The sequence below is a fragment of the Homo sapiens genome, chromosome 1 (assembly GCF_000001405.40).
Source record: "Homo sapiens chromosome 1, GRCh38.p14 Primary Assembly".
Classification (NCBI taxonomy): domain Eukaryota; kingdom Metazoa; phylum Chordata; class Mammalia; order Primates; family Hominidae; genus Homo; species Homo sapiens.
In genome coordinates this window covers 242,644,711-242,657,675 of record NC_000001.11, presented here as the reverse complement: position 1 = coordinate 242,657,675, position 12,965 = coordinate 242,644,711, and the positions used below count along the sequence as shown (strand labels likewise).

Genomic DNA, 12,965 nt, shown 5'->3' with positions numbered 1-12,965 from the left:
TCATTATCGATTAAATCATTGGCTATTAGTGACTCACTTACTCTCTAGCGCCTTTCCCCTCCCTGGAGGTCAGGGAGTTTGGGCTGAAGGTTACAGCCCTCTCATCACAGGATTGGTTCCTCTGGCATTCAGCCTCCATCCTGAAGCTATCTAGGGACACTCACTCATTAGCATAAACTCAGATATGGTTGAAAGGGGCTTATTGTGAAAACCTAGTATTTGATAGCACAACAGGGTGACTACAGTCAATAATAACTTAATGGTGCATTTTAAAATAAAGATTATAATTGGATTGCTTGTAACTCAAAGGATAAATGCTTGAGGGGATGGATACCCCATTCTCCATGATGTGCCTATTTCACTGCATGTCTGCATCAAACTATCTCATGTATCCTATAAATATATACATCTACTATGTACTCACAGAAAATAAAATTAAAAAATTTAAGGGCTTATTATGAACAACAAAAGATGCTCCTTTCATTCTATCACTGAGTAAATTCCAAGGGTTTTAGAAACTGCCAGGAACTGAGGGTAAAGACCAAACATATACCATATTTCTTATTATATCACATTATCACAATGTGCTTTGGCTTAATAGACAAATAAGTTGGAAAATAACGAAAAGACTAGAGTTTTCTTTGAATTTTTGGAGGGCTACTCTCAATGAATATTTCTCATTTATGTTATCAAGTTATGCTTTTGGTGGAAACAGCCACTGATTTGGCAATGCATAGAGTGAAACACAGCCTCAATTCTGGCCCTCCCAAATGCCATTAAATAACTGAAATGTGATTAAAGTTTTAGATGTTACAGAACCTTGCCAAAATTCATTAGCCCCCAAAATCACCTCCAGTAATGTACTTGCCATTCTACAAAGAAGCAATGATAGGTGAAACTCAGGAGATGCCTTGAGTAACCTTGAAGTTCTAGGTTGGAAATGCAAGATATTACGCCCAAGTTTTATTTCCATTTATTTTAAGTAATGGTTCTGCTTATAATAAAAACAAGGACAGAGTCTGTGTTTATTTGCCTTATACATTCCAGAATTTCATTTCCAGGTCCATAACTATGTGTTAGAATGATGAGATCTTGGAGTGTCAGGCTAGGTGAGGTTGGGCTATGGTAACAACCTCCCCCCTAGGTGGACTATTTTTCTCTTATGCTTCAAGACCATTGTAGGTTTGCAGGGTGCTCTGTTCTTTGTCTCCTCATTCTAGGAATAATATTGTCAGAGCAACTATCATCTCAAATATTATCGTTGCTATGATAAGGGTAAAAAAGAGTTTTGGAGGACCTTACACTGGCAATATAATGTTCTCTTCTAAAAACAACAATCACCCTTCCCGCTCATAGCTTATTGGTCAGGACAAATCACACAGTTCCACCCAATCTTAATGTAGCCAAGAGGTGCATCCACACAGGTGTCTTGAAAGCAGAGAGCCAGAAATACTTGGTGAACATGACTAAGGACCATCGTCACACTGGATAAGGGCTTGAGGTCTAAGTAACAAATACCAAGAAGAATAAATCAGCATTGAAAATGATTTAAAGAAAAACAAACCTTTGGGCAGAACTTTTAGGAAAAAGAGAAAAAAAAGGCTGAGACAAAACTGTAATATGAGAAGATAGGAAGGCATCGTGTATTCCAGGAAAGTTGCTTTCCTTAATGTTGGGAGACATTAATGTATTCCTTAATGCTGAGGGACTTAAAAATCATTTATTTCCTTGTAAGTGTGTATGATTTCAAATGCTTACATTGCAACCTTCAGAGAATAAGTAATAAAAATGACCTCATAAATATTCTTAAATGTTGTTGAGAGAGAATATATGCCTAAAGCATATAAATAGGGGACAGGCCTTTTTTCGATTCTGGATATATATGTCATATGAACAGGGAAAAAGAGGATGATCCCAGAACCAAGCAAATTGCCTGACACCTATGACAAATTCTAAGTATTTGTTGAACAAAGGATTCTTTTGTATAAGGAAAGTATGTTTTTACAGAGAAATTCACAGACTTGAAGATGACACCTAGAACAGTACCTGCCTGGTGCCTGGTAGTTTCTGGGTTGTATGTATTGTATTGAATTGTAAGTGTTGAATCAGTGAATGAAGACAGAAAACGTGAGTGTACATGAAAGGGGAGAAAGAGAGAAGAGATACTGAAAGGAGAACACACAGTACACCCAACCAAGCAGAGAAAGTGGACAAATGATCAAACATGAAAAGAAAAATGTACAGAGAGGTAAGACACGGTAACATTAGGCTTCTCCAGCTAAGTTGACATCTGTTCTGCAGAAAACAGAACATCTGGTTATAAATTATTTGTTGACCCTGGCCACAATTTTATCTCTCAATTACAGAGGATGGCAGGGAAGCTTCTATTCCAAACTCAAGTTTCTTTTTCATTCAAAAGTATTAGTAATTTGGAAATTAAAAGGAAAAATATTTAGACAAAATATTCTTGAAGTTTATCCTACAATGGCTTATGAACACTAGACACAGATAACCAGACATACATTGACATAGGGAAGCAGACATCAAAACTTTAGAAAAATTAAGGTTTTCATTCCATGAACAAAACTTCTGAAAGCATAACCCACAAAGATGAAGTCTTATTTTAAAAATGTACTCCTGACCATCAAAACGCCATCAGAAGAATTAATACTGGCTATTGACAGGAACACTCTGATTTTAAAGGTGATACACAGTTTATTTTTTGCACATTTTATTTATTTTTTTCTTATACTTTAAGTTCTGGGGTACATGTGCAGAATGTGCAGGTTTCTTACATTGGTATACATGTGCTATGGTGGTTTGCTGCACCCGTCAACCCATCATCTACATTAGGTATTTCTCCTAATGCTCTCCCTCCCCCCGCCCCCCACCCCCTGACAGGCCCCAGTGTGTGATGTTCCCCTCCCTGTGTCCATGTGTTCTCATTGTTCAACTCCCACTTATGAGTGAGAACATGTGGTGTTTGGTTTTTTGTTCTTGTGTTAGTTTGCTAAGAATGATGGTTTCCAGCTTCATCCATGTCCCTGCAAATGACATGAACTCATCCTTTTTTATGGCTGTATAGTATTCCATGGTGTATATGTGCCACATTTTCTTTACCCAGTCTATCATTGATGGGCATTTGGGTTGGTTCCAAGTCTTTGCTATGGTGAACAGTGCTGCAATAAACATACATGTGCATGTGTCTTTATAGCAGAATGATTTATAATCCTTTGGGTATATACCCAGTAGTGGGATTGCTGGGTCAAATGGTATTTCTGGTTCTAGATCCTTAAGGAATAACCACACTGTCTTCCACAATGGCGGAAATAATTTACACTGCCACCAACAGTGTAAAAGCGTTCCCATTTCTCCACATCTTCTCCAGCATCTGTTGTTTCCTGACTTTTTAATGCTCGCCGTTCTAACTGGCATGAGATGGTATCTCATTGTGGTTTTGATTTGCATTTCTCTAATGACCAGTGATGATGAGCATTTTTTCATATGTTTGATGGCTGCATAAATGTCTTCTTTTGAGAAGTGTCTGTTCATATCCTTCACCCACTTTTTGATGGGGTTGTTTGTTTGTTTCTTGTAAATTTATCTGGATATTAGCTCTTTGTCAGATGGATAGATGGCAAAAATTTTCTCCCATTCTGTAGGTTGCCTGTTCACTCTGATGATAGTTTCTTTTGCTGACAACACAAATTTTTTTGAAAGAATATCTAGTTTATTTTATATCATCCTCTAAAAATGTCAGCTTTTATGTGTTTTACAATTCCTATACATTAGTACAGTAGTTATGTATAAAATTTACATATATATAATCATATACACAAAGGTGTGAAATGTACACATGCAAATGAAAGAGTGATAAAACACACCTTCATGGACCTACCAACCAGCTTCAGAAATAAAGCATTACCACTAACTTAGAAGCTCTCTGGAGACCTTTTCCCTGAACCCTAGGTGACCACTATCCTGGATATTGTGTTGATAATTAGCTTCTTTGCTTCATAGGTTGGTTTTTTTTTTTTTTTAAATCACATGTGAATGTATCTCTAAGCATTGTTTAGTTTTCCCTGATTTGAATGGTAGCAAATTGAATTTATACTGTATGTATTCTTCAGTGACTTGGCCCTCTCAACTAAACTTTGTGTCTTTGACACTTGTTCATTAATGCATGTGGCTATAGTTCATTCATGTTCACTATTGTATAGGATTCCAGTGTATGTATATGCCTCAGTCTTATTGTCTTTTTACTGGTAATGATGAGTTGTTTTCAGCATTTTGTTCTCAGGAACAAGGCTGCTGTGAGCATTTTTTCTATATCTCTTGGTATGTATTCAAGAAGCTCTCTAGGGTATATACCTGGAGATGAAATTAATAGGTCATAGATATGTGTATGTTCAACTTCACTTTTTAAAATCTGATGGGCTTTTGCCAACAGTAGGTGAAAGTACATGTTGTTTTTCCATTTTTGACAACCCTTGATATTATCTGACTTTTAAATTTTGCCAATTCAGTACAACACACATTTTTTAAGCTTCATGAAGGTCAAAGCCTCAAATGAACTGAAGTCCATGATAAAAGCTAAAAGCCCAATGTAGACACTTTGTAAAAAAGTAAGATAAAGGTGATGATGGGCTCATGATGGCCGATGGGAAGCAGGACTAGATTCCACCTCTGGACAGAGCGGTGTGTGGAGGCTTGTATTGTGAATTTTAGCTCCAGATTGAATGCAAGAAAAAAGCAGCAATCCCTAGAGGACCTACAGACCCTCTGAAGGAAGCAGACTGCTCCTGAAGGACTTAGGAGACATCCCAAATACGGTGAGTGCCCCAACTGTGGAAGTGGGAAAGAGGGACCATCATCTTTTGAACACACACCCCCACTGGAGAAGCTGAAGTTCTGTTTGCAGGGGAAGTTTCCAACTTTACCTGGAGCTGAGTCAATGCAGGCAGCCGAGCGAAACACAGGAGTAGAGGTAGCAGCAGAAGGGCCCTGGGGGTTCACTGCATCTCCTAGCAGGCCATTCCTGCCTGGCCTGGCACCACAGGGATCCATGGGGAGAGCAGCCAGAGGAGCAGGACTAGAACTCCACAGAGGGAAGGAAATCTCTAGCTGAACTTTGTAACAGTTTGAACAGGGTGAGAAGCCTCCTGGCCAGATCTCAGGGGAGGGCGCAAATCCAGTATGCAGACTCCACATGCAGGGGAAGAACCAAGCCCATTTATTTCGCAACTGGGAGGCAGGTAGCCTGGGGTAAGTTTTCAAGCCCATCTTGCCCTCCTCCTGCAAACAGACTCGGGGCTGTTGCAGGGGCCGTGGTGGGAGTGAGACCAGCCCTTCAGTTTGCGTGGCAGCTGGGTGAGGCCTGTGACTGCCACCTTTCCCCCACTTCCCTGGCAACCTGCATGTCTCAGCAGCAGCTGCCATAATCCTCCTAGGTACACAACTCCGGTGACCTGGGAATCTCACCTTCATCCCCCAGAGCAGCTGCAGCAGGACCCACCAAAGGAGAGTTTGAGCTCAGACAGCCAAACCCTGCCCCCACCTGATGGTCCTTCCCTATCCACCCTGCTAGCTGAAGACAAAGGGCATATAATCTTGAGTTCTAGGGCCCCACCTACCACTGGTCCCTCTCCACACTGCTATAGCTGATGCTTTCTAGAAAGCGCCACCTCCTGGCAGGAGACCAACCAGCACAAAAATAGAGCATTCAACCACCAGAGCTAAGAACCCTCACGGAGTCCATTGCACCCCACCCTGCCACCTCCCCGGAATAGGCACTGGTATCCACAGCTGAGAAACCCATAGACGGTTCACATCACAAGACTCTGCAGACAACCCCCAGTACCAGTCCAGAGTTGGGTAGACTTGCTGGGTGGCTAGACCCAGAAGAGAGACAAAAATCACTGCAGTTCAGCTCACAGGATGCCACATCCATAGGAAAAGAGGGAGAGTACTACATCAAGGGAACAGCTTGTGGGACAAAAGAATATGAACAACAGCCTTCAGCCCTGGACCTTCCCTCAGACAGAGCCTACCCAAATGAGAAGGAACCAGAAAACCAACCCTGGTAATACGACAAAACAAGGCTCTTCAACACCCCCGCAGAATCACACTAGTTCACCAGCAATGGATCCAAACCAAGAAGAAATCCCTGATTTACCTGAAAAAGAATTCAGGAGGTTAGTTATTAAGCTAATCAGGGAGGGACCAGAGAAAGGCAAAGCCCAATGCAAGGAAATCCAAAAAATGATACAAGAAGTGAAGGGAGAAATAGTCAATGAAATAGATAGCTTAAAGAAAAAACAATAAAAAATTCAGGAAACTTCAGACACACTTTTAGAAATGCAAAATGCTCTGGAAAGTCTCAGCAATAGAATTGAACAAGTAGAAGAAAGAAATTCAGAACTCTAAGACAAGGTCTTTGAATTAACACAATCCAACAAAGACAAAGACAAAAAGAATAAGAAAATATGAACAAAGCTTCCAAGAAGTCTGGGATTATGTTAAATGACCAAACCTAAGAATAATCAGTGTTCCTGAGGAAGAAGAGAATTCTAAAAGCTTGGAAAACATATTTGGGGGAATAATTGAGGAAACCTTCCCCAGCCTTGCTAGAGACCTAGACATGCAAATACAGGAAGCACAAAGAACAACTGGAAAATTCATCACAAAAAAGTTATTTGCCTAGGCACACTGTCATCAGGTTACCCAAAATTAAGATGAAGGAAAGAATCTTAAGAGCTGTGAGACAGAAGCACCAGGTAACCTACAAAGGAAAACCTATCAGATTAACAGCAGATTTCTCAGCAGAAACCCTACAAGCTAGAAGGGATTGGGGCCCTATCTTCAGCCTCCTCAAACACAACAATTATCAGCCAAGAATTTTGTATGCAGCAAAACTAAGCATCATATATGAAGGAAAGAGACAGTCATTTTCAGACAAACCAAAGGCTGAGAGAATTTACCATTACCAGGCCACCACTACAAGAACTGCTAAAAGGAGCTCTAAGTCTTGAAACAAATCCTGGAAACACATCAAAACAGAACCTCTTTAAAGGAGAAATCTCACAAGATTGTCTGTTTTGCTGGGAAGGCAGTAACAATATGCAGATGGAAGTGTGCTCTGTCAACTGGTCAGATGACATGAGCATGTTATAGGGGTTTGTTGGACTTGTTTGTTTGCAGGGAGGGTTTGTGAAGTCCCCCTGTGGCTCCATTTCCAACCAACAGCAACCCTGTAAATGTCTTCTGCAAGGACTTAGAACCAGGATAGCAGGAAGGGTCTTGTGAGCTTACAGTAGGTAAACAGAAAGATGCCTCTAATCCTGAGGCTACAGTAAGGTAAGGACAGGAAATTGGATGTAAGAAATTTGGAGCCGTCTTAGGGGTCACACTGCTGCTGTGGAAGCTATGAGATCTCTCTTTCCCTTTCTTGCACAGCACTAAATATCTGTGATAGTCATTTGGGACTTAAAGTCTAGTATTCACAGACATAAATTCCTCTTTCTCTGTCCTTGATTATTTTATTCTCCCTGTTCATCTCATTGTTTTTTTCTCTTCACGTGAACTGAAGCTGATTTCTAAATGTACTTCATTTTCTGCCTCCCTCCCTTTCTTCCTAACTTAAGACTGCAAAATTTTCTATTGGGAACCTAGCTGTTTCCCACTGCTATATATGGTTGAAGTATATGGTGCAAATCCTAATGGCATTGATGTGTGGGTTTTTCCAAATTATCCCTGATTACAGATGCTGCTGTATCCTGAATCTTTTCCTGGCTCTCTGTTACACGGACAGCCATACACCATATTAAGCACTCAAATATCACTATATCACTACCCACTTTTTTTTTTTTTTTTTTTGGGGAGACAGAATCTCACTCTGTCACCCAGGTTGGAGTGCAATGGCATGATCTTGGCTCACTGCAACCTCCACCACGCCTGGCTAATTTTTTGTATTTTTAGTAGAGACAGGGTTTCACCATGTTGGCCAGGCTAGTCTCAAACACCTGACCTCAGGTGATTCACCCACCTCAGCCTCCCAAAGTGCTGGGATTACAGGTGTGAGCCACTGCACCTGGCCCACTACCTATTTAAAACAAAATCTTGTGTAGCCCACTCCCATGACCACTACTATACTACCCAAGAAATGTGCAGCCCACTGGTGAGATAGAATAGTCTTAGATGACTTCTGGATCTAAACATTAACATTAAAGGAAAACAATTGAACTGAGAAATCCAGAGAGATTCCTCAATGTTAAAAATTTGACTCAACTGAGACCCTGTCTCTGCCAAAATTATTTTTAAAAAGTTACCCCAGGTGCACTTGGTTTCGCAGGTCATCTGCTTGGCTCTCTTCCAAGTTGTACTTTCCTTCTTTTCTTTCCTTTCCTTCCTTTCCTTACTGTTCTAAAGCTTTTTAATAAAGATTCACTCCTGCTCTTAAAAGAATAAAAACGTTAGCTCAGTATGGTGGCGCATGCCTGTGGTCCCAGCTACTCAGGAGGCTGAGGTGAAGTTGGGGGCGGAGGCTGCAGTGAGCTGTGATCACGTCTTTGCACTCCAGCCTGGGTCGCTTGAGAGAGACTCTGTCTCAAAAAATTGTTGACTAAGTTTTGATGTTTAGATCCTAGGTATGTAGTATATAGGATATGATAAACAAATAAACCTTTTCAAGTTTAGAGAAAAGTAAAGTCACAGAGATGACTTTTAACAGGAGTCTTTTTGGCTACAACTGTACAAAAAATTCACTCTGGCAATGGATTACCATAAGGTCTACTGTGTCAGGCTAATTCAATTTAATTCTAAGCTTCTGAGCACAGATGCTTAAAACAAAGGGTGGGAGGTGCTCATGGAAACAGATGAATGTGGGAACCAGGACTGTGATAAATTAAGCAAAGCTTTAATATGGTGATAAGGAAGTTTTTGTTTAGGTTCAGAATGTGCATGAATGTAGAAACTCTGATAACTTCTAATATTTGGTGAGTGCAAAACAGCTGATAATTCACTCTTTGAGGTAATAAAGCAAAGGAAGTCTTAATTTGACATTGTATCTATAACACATTCCGTGGTGCCTTAAAAGGAAACAGACTGAAGAACCGAACAAGACAGCCCCCAGGGTCTCTCCAGCATGTGTCAACAACATTAAGAGAATCTTTATAGGAGGAGGAGGAAGAACTGCTCACATTGTATCCAGGATAAAACAGCTCTGTGGGATTTTCCTGAAAGACCAAGCACCAGTCCGTGTTGGAGGTTGGGCTTAAACATAGAGGAAGTCAAGCCTACAGAGTACTTCTTAGTTCCAATAATTTCCAATAATCTTATTCCGTAGTGACTGTGAGGATATCAAAAGCCCTGTAGACCCTTTTATGGCTTATTTATGCTGTCCGTACATTCATCCATTTCTTATAACCTCACTAGCATTATTTATGACTTTCCTTTTGCCCCATGGTTCATGTTGTTTTTATAGCTAATGGTAAGTATGGTTCCTCAACTCTATGATTGTTTTCTGCTTGCTTTAAAGAAGATTCAGTTGGAATAAGGTAAGTGCACATACACACATACGTTCTACAGTGAGTACAGGTTTTGGAGACAGGTTGCTTAGATTCAGCTCCCATTTCTGTCCATACCTACTAGCTAGACCACCTTGGATAACTTGTTTTTCTGTCTATAGAAGAAAATAATAGTAATAATATCTACTTCATAGTAATGCTATGGGTGGAAAACAATGCTAAATGTGAAATGCTTATCATTATTACTCATTATAATTGCCGTTTACTGACAACCGTTTCATACTGTCTGACCTTCCAAAGAGGTTATCATCCTGATTTTCTTGGGATGTTAAACTCATTCTCATTTGATGTGGGAGTAAATCAAGTAAAATTTGACCTTCATCTTCATTTTTCAGAAAGTAAGTGGAAAAGATAGGTACATTTATATGCTGATACATTTCACGTAAAAATGTAAATCTATAATATGGGCCAGTATATTGGCAGAGATTCAAGAAAGATTTCAAGAGAATCTTCTAAAGGTAGCACAAATTCATTCTCAAAATTAGAATTTAGAGCAGAATTCATGAAATGGTCTTCCATTGTACAACTCTTAAGATTTATTTTCTATTTTTCATATTAAGTTCATGCAAACATTTATGGGATAAACGTGAAAACACTTTCAAAGAACTTGAGAACGCTTTAGAAGAAAAATGTCAAGAAATGTTCAATGATGTTTCACATTTCCACATTGCACAAGATAAGAAATTTCTGGCTGAGCATGGTGGCTCAAGCCTGTAATCCCAGCACTTTGGGAGGCAGAGGCGGGTGGATGATGAAGTCAAGAGATCAAGATCATCCTGGCCAACATGGTGAAACCCTGTCTCCGCTAAAAATACAAAAAATTAGCCGGGCTTGGTGGTGGGCGCCTGTAGTCCTAGCTACTCGGGAGACTGAGGCAGGAGAATGGCGTGAACCCGGGAGGCAGAGCTTGCAGTGAGCTGAGGTGGCGCCACTGCACTCCAGTCTGGGAGACAGAGCGAGACTCTGTCTCAAAAAAAAAAAAAAAAAAAAAAAAAGATATTTCCAAAGAGGTAATTATTTAAATCTAAACTAATTCTTAATAAATTGCTAAGAGTGATAGTGGGTATTATGGAGGGACTGTATGTGACAGATATTTCCTAAATTACTGCTGTTTTTAGGAATCTTTTGTTTTAATGTCACAGAATATATTTTTAAAAATTGATTTATAAGGTGAGTTCTTATAAATAATGTTGCTCTTTTGGTACCTTTTCTGTATGTGGCCTTAAATTATTTCAAATTTCACAAAGTTTTTTTCTTCATTGCTTTCAAATTTGGGGCATCTTCAGAGTGTGCCCTAGGTTTTCAATTTCTCAGAACTACAAAAACTTTTTAAAAAGAAAAACCTGAACTGTATAAAGTACGGATTGCTAAATGCTAATGAATTTTTTTGGTTTTTTTTGTTTGTTTGTTTTTTGAGATGGAGTCTCACTTCAAGGCCCAGGCTGGAGTGCAATGGCATGATCTCGGCTCACTGCAACCTCCACCTCCCGGGTTCAAGTGAGTCTCCTGCCCCAGCCTCCTAAATAGCTGGAACTACAGGTGCACACCACTATGTCCAGCTATTTTTTTTTTTGTATTTTTAATAGAGATGAGGTTTCACCATATTGGCCAGGCTGGTCTCGAACTCCTGACCTCAAGTGATCCACCCACCTCTGCCTCCCGAAGTGCTGGGATTACAGGTGTGAGCCACTACACGTGGCCTGAAAATTTTGAACTATTCAATTTTCATCATTCCAGGTCACTAGAAACCACATAAAGCTATTACTCTAACCCCCAATATAAAGTGGCAGTGTTCATTTAGATAAGCATTGTATTCAAGTTCCTTGACAGTTTAGCTCATGTTATCAAAAACATGAGAACAGGTGATAGATTTCAATTATTTAGATAATGAAAGCTAAAAGCAAACTCACATCTTCTGATAGATATGCTAGGAAATAACATTAATAAAAAATAGCCAATTTGTGGGAAACATATCACTAGAATGTAAGTTTCATAATGGCAGGATTTTGTCTATTTTGTTTACTGACCAATCCCCCATGTCTAAAAGAGTACCCAAGAATAGTAGGCACCTAACAAACATGTGTTAAATTGTTGCAGAAATAGAGTTGAAACTAATATTTTCTCCCAACCCAGAAATTCTCCCCACAGAAGTGGTGGGGAAAGAAAATACTCTTATGATTGGGCAAGCATTAAGCTAGAATGTTATACTCATCACAGACAATCCACTAAGAGATCCACAATAACAGAAATAAATCTCACCCTTTCATATAGCCAAACAGAGATAACCCATGGCATACATATTTTCAAGGGAAACAATGACTATTCCTTAAGTTACCGACAGCATCATTTGTCACACATAGTTCATCCTAAATTTACCTGGTAGTTGGGGTGACTATCTGTGTTAGATAATTGGCTTTATCCGAAGGAAAAAGCAAACTTCTCATATCTTTATGACAGAAGATAGTTTTAAAAACTGCAGCAAGCTGCAAAGAGCTCAGAAAGGTTAATCTCCTATTCCTTCACAGAAAGGGGAAGATGGGGGTGCTAGTTCCAATGATGTTCTAAAGAGATGGCTTCCAGGTCCTTGAGAAAGACATTCCTGAGTCATAAAGCTGACAAAGGCCTAGGTAGTCTTCAAAAAGAGTATACACACACACACACACACACACACACACACACACACAGTTCAAAGAGAGGAGAAAATACAAGTTTTCTAAGGCAAAAGCTCTTTAAAAAAAGGAGGGGAAGGGAATCTCTTTTCTTATTTTCAACAAAGAGAAATAAGCCTCTTATTTTTAATTTGTATGTGCCTTTAAAAAAAGATGGCACATTTCTACCATCAAGAATGTGTTTTATCCCACAAACAAGCACATTCATTGCTTCAGTTGCCAATGTCAATATCTAAAGTGTTAATTTGGCCAGGCTCAGTGGCTCACATCTATAATGCCAGCACTTTGGGAGGCTGAGACGGGTGGATCACCTGAGGTCAGGAGTTCAAGACCAGCCTGGCTAACATGGCGAAACCCTGTCTCTACTAAAAGTACAAAAATTAACCAGGTGTGGTGGGGGTGCCTGTAGTCTCAGCTACTTGGGGGGGCTGAGGCAGGAGAATCACTTGAACCTGGGAGGTGGAGGTTGCAGTGAGCTGAGATCATGCCACTGCACTCCAGCCTGGGTGACAGAGCGAGACTCCATCTCAAAAAAAAAAAAAAAGTGTTAATTAGTGTTGGGGTTTTATTATAAAAACAAGATTGGGGAAAGTCCGAATACATGATCATTTACTTTTAGTAAAAAAACAAAGTGATTTGCCTCAATGTCACCTGGGTAAACAGGACCCTAAATCATAAGCTTGCTAATTGTTCTTTCCTATCATAGCATCAG

The 12,965-nt window shown here is 39.9% G+C and overlaps 1 annotated feature.

The window, feature by feature from the left end:
• Positions 5,350-5,879: an enhancer, noted in NCBI's record as "H3K4me1 hESC enhancer chr1:242815099-242815628 (GRCh37/hg19 assembly coordinates)". NCBI's record gives its function as "activates a minimal SCP1, AML or CMV promoter by ChIP-STARR-seq in primed H9 embryonic stem cells {active_cell/tissue: H9 hESC(primed)}" and the evidence as "EXISTENCE:reporter gene assay evidence [ECO:0000049][PMID:30033119]".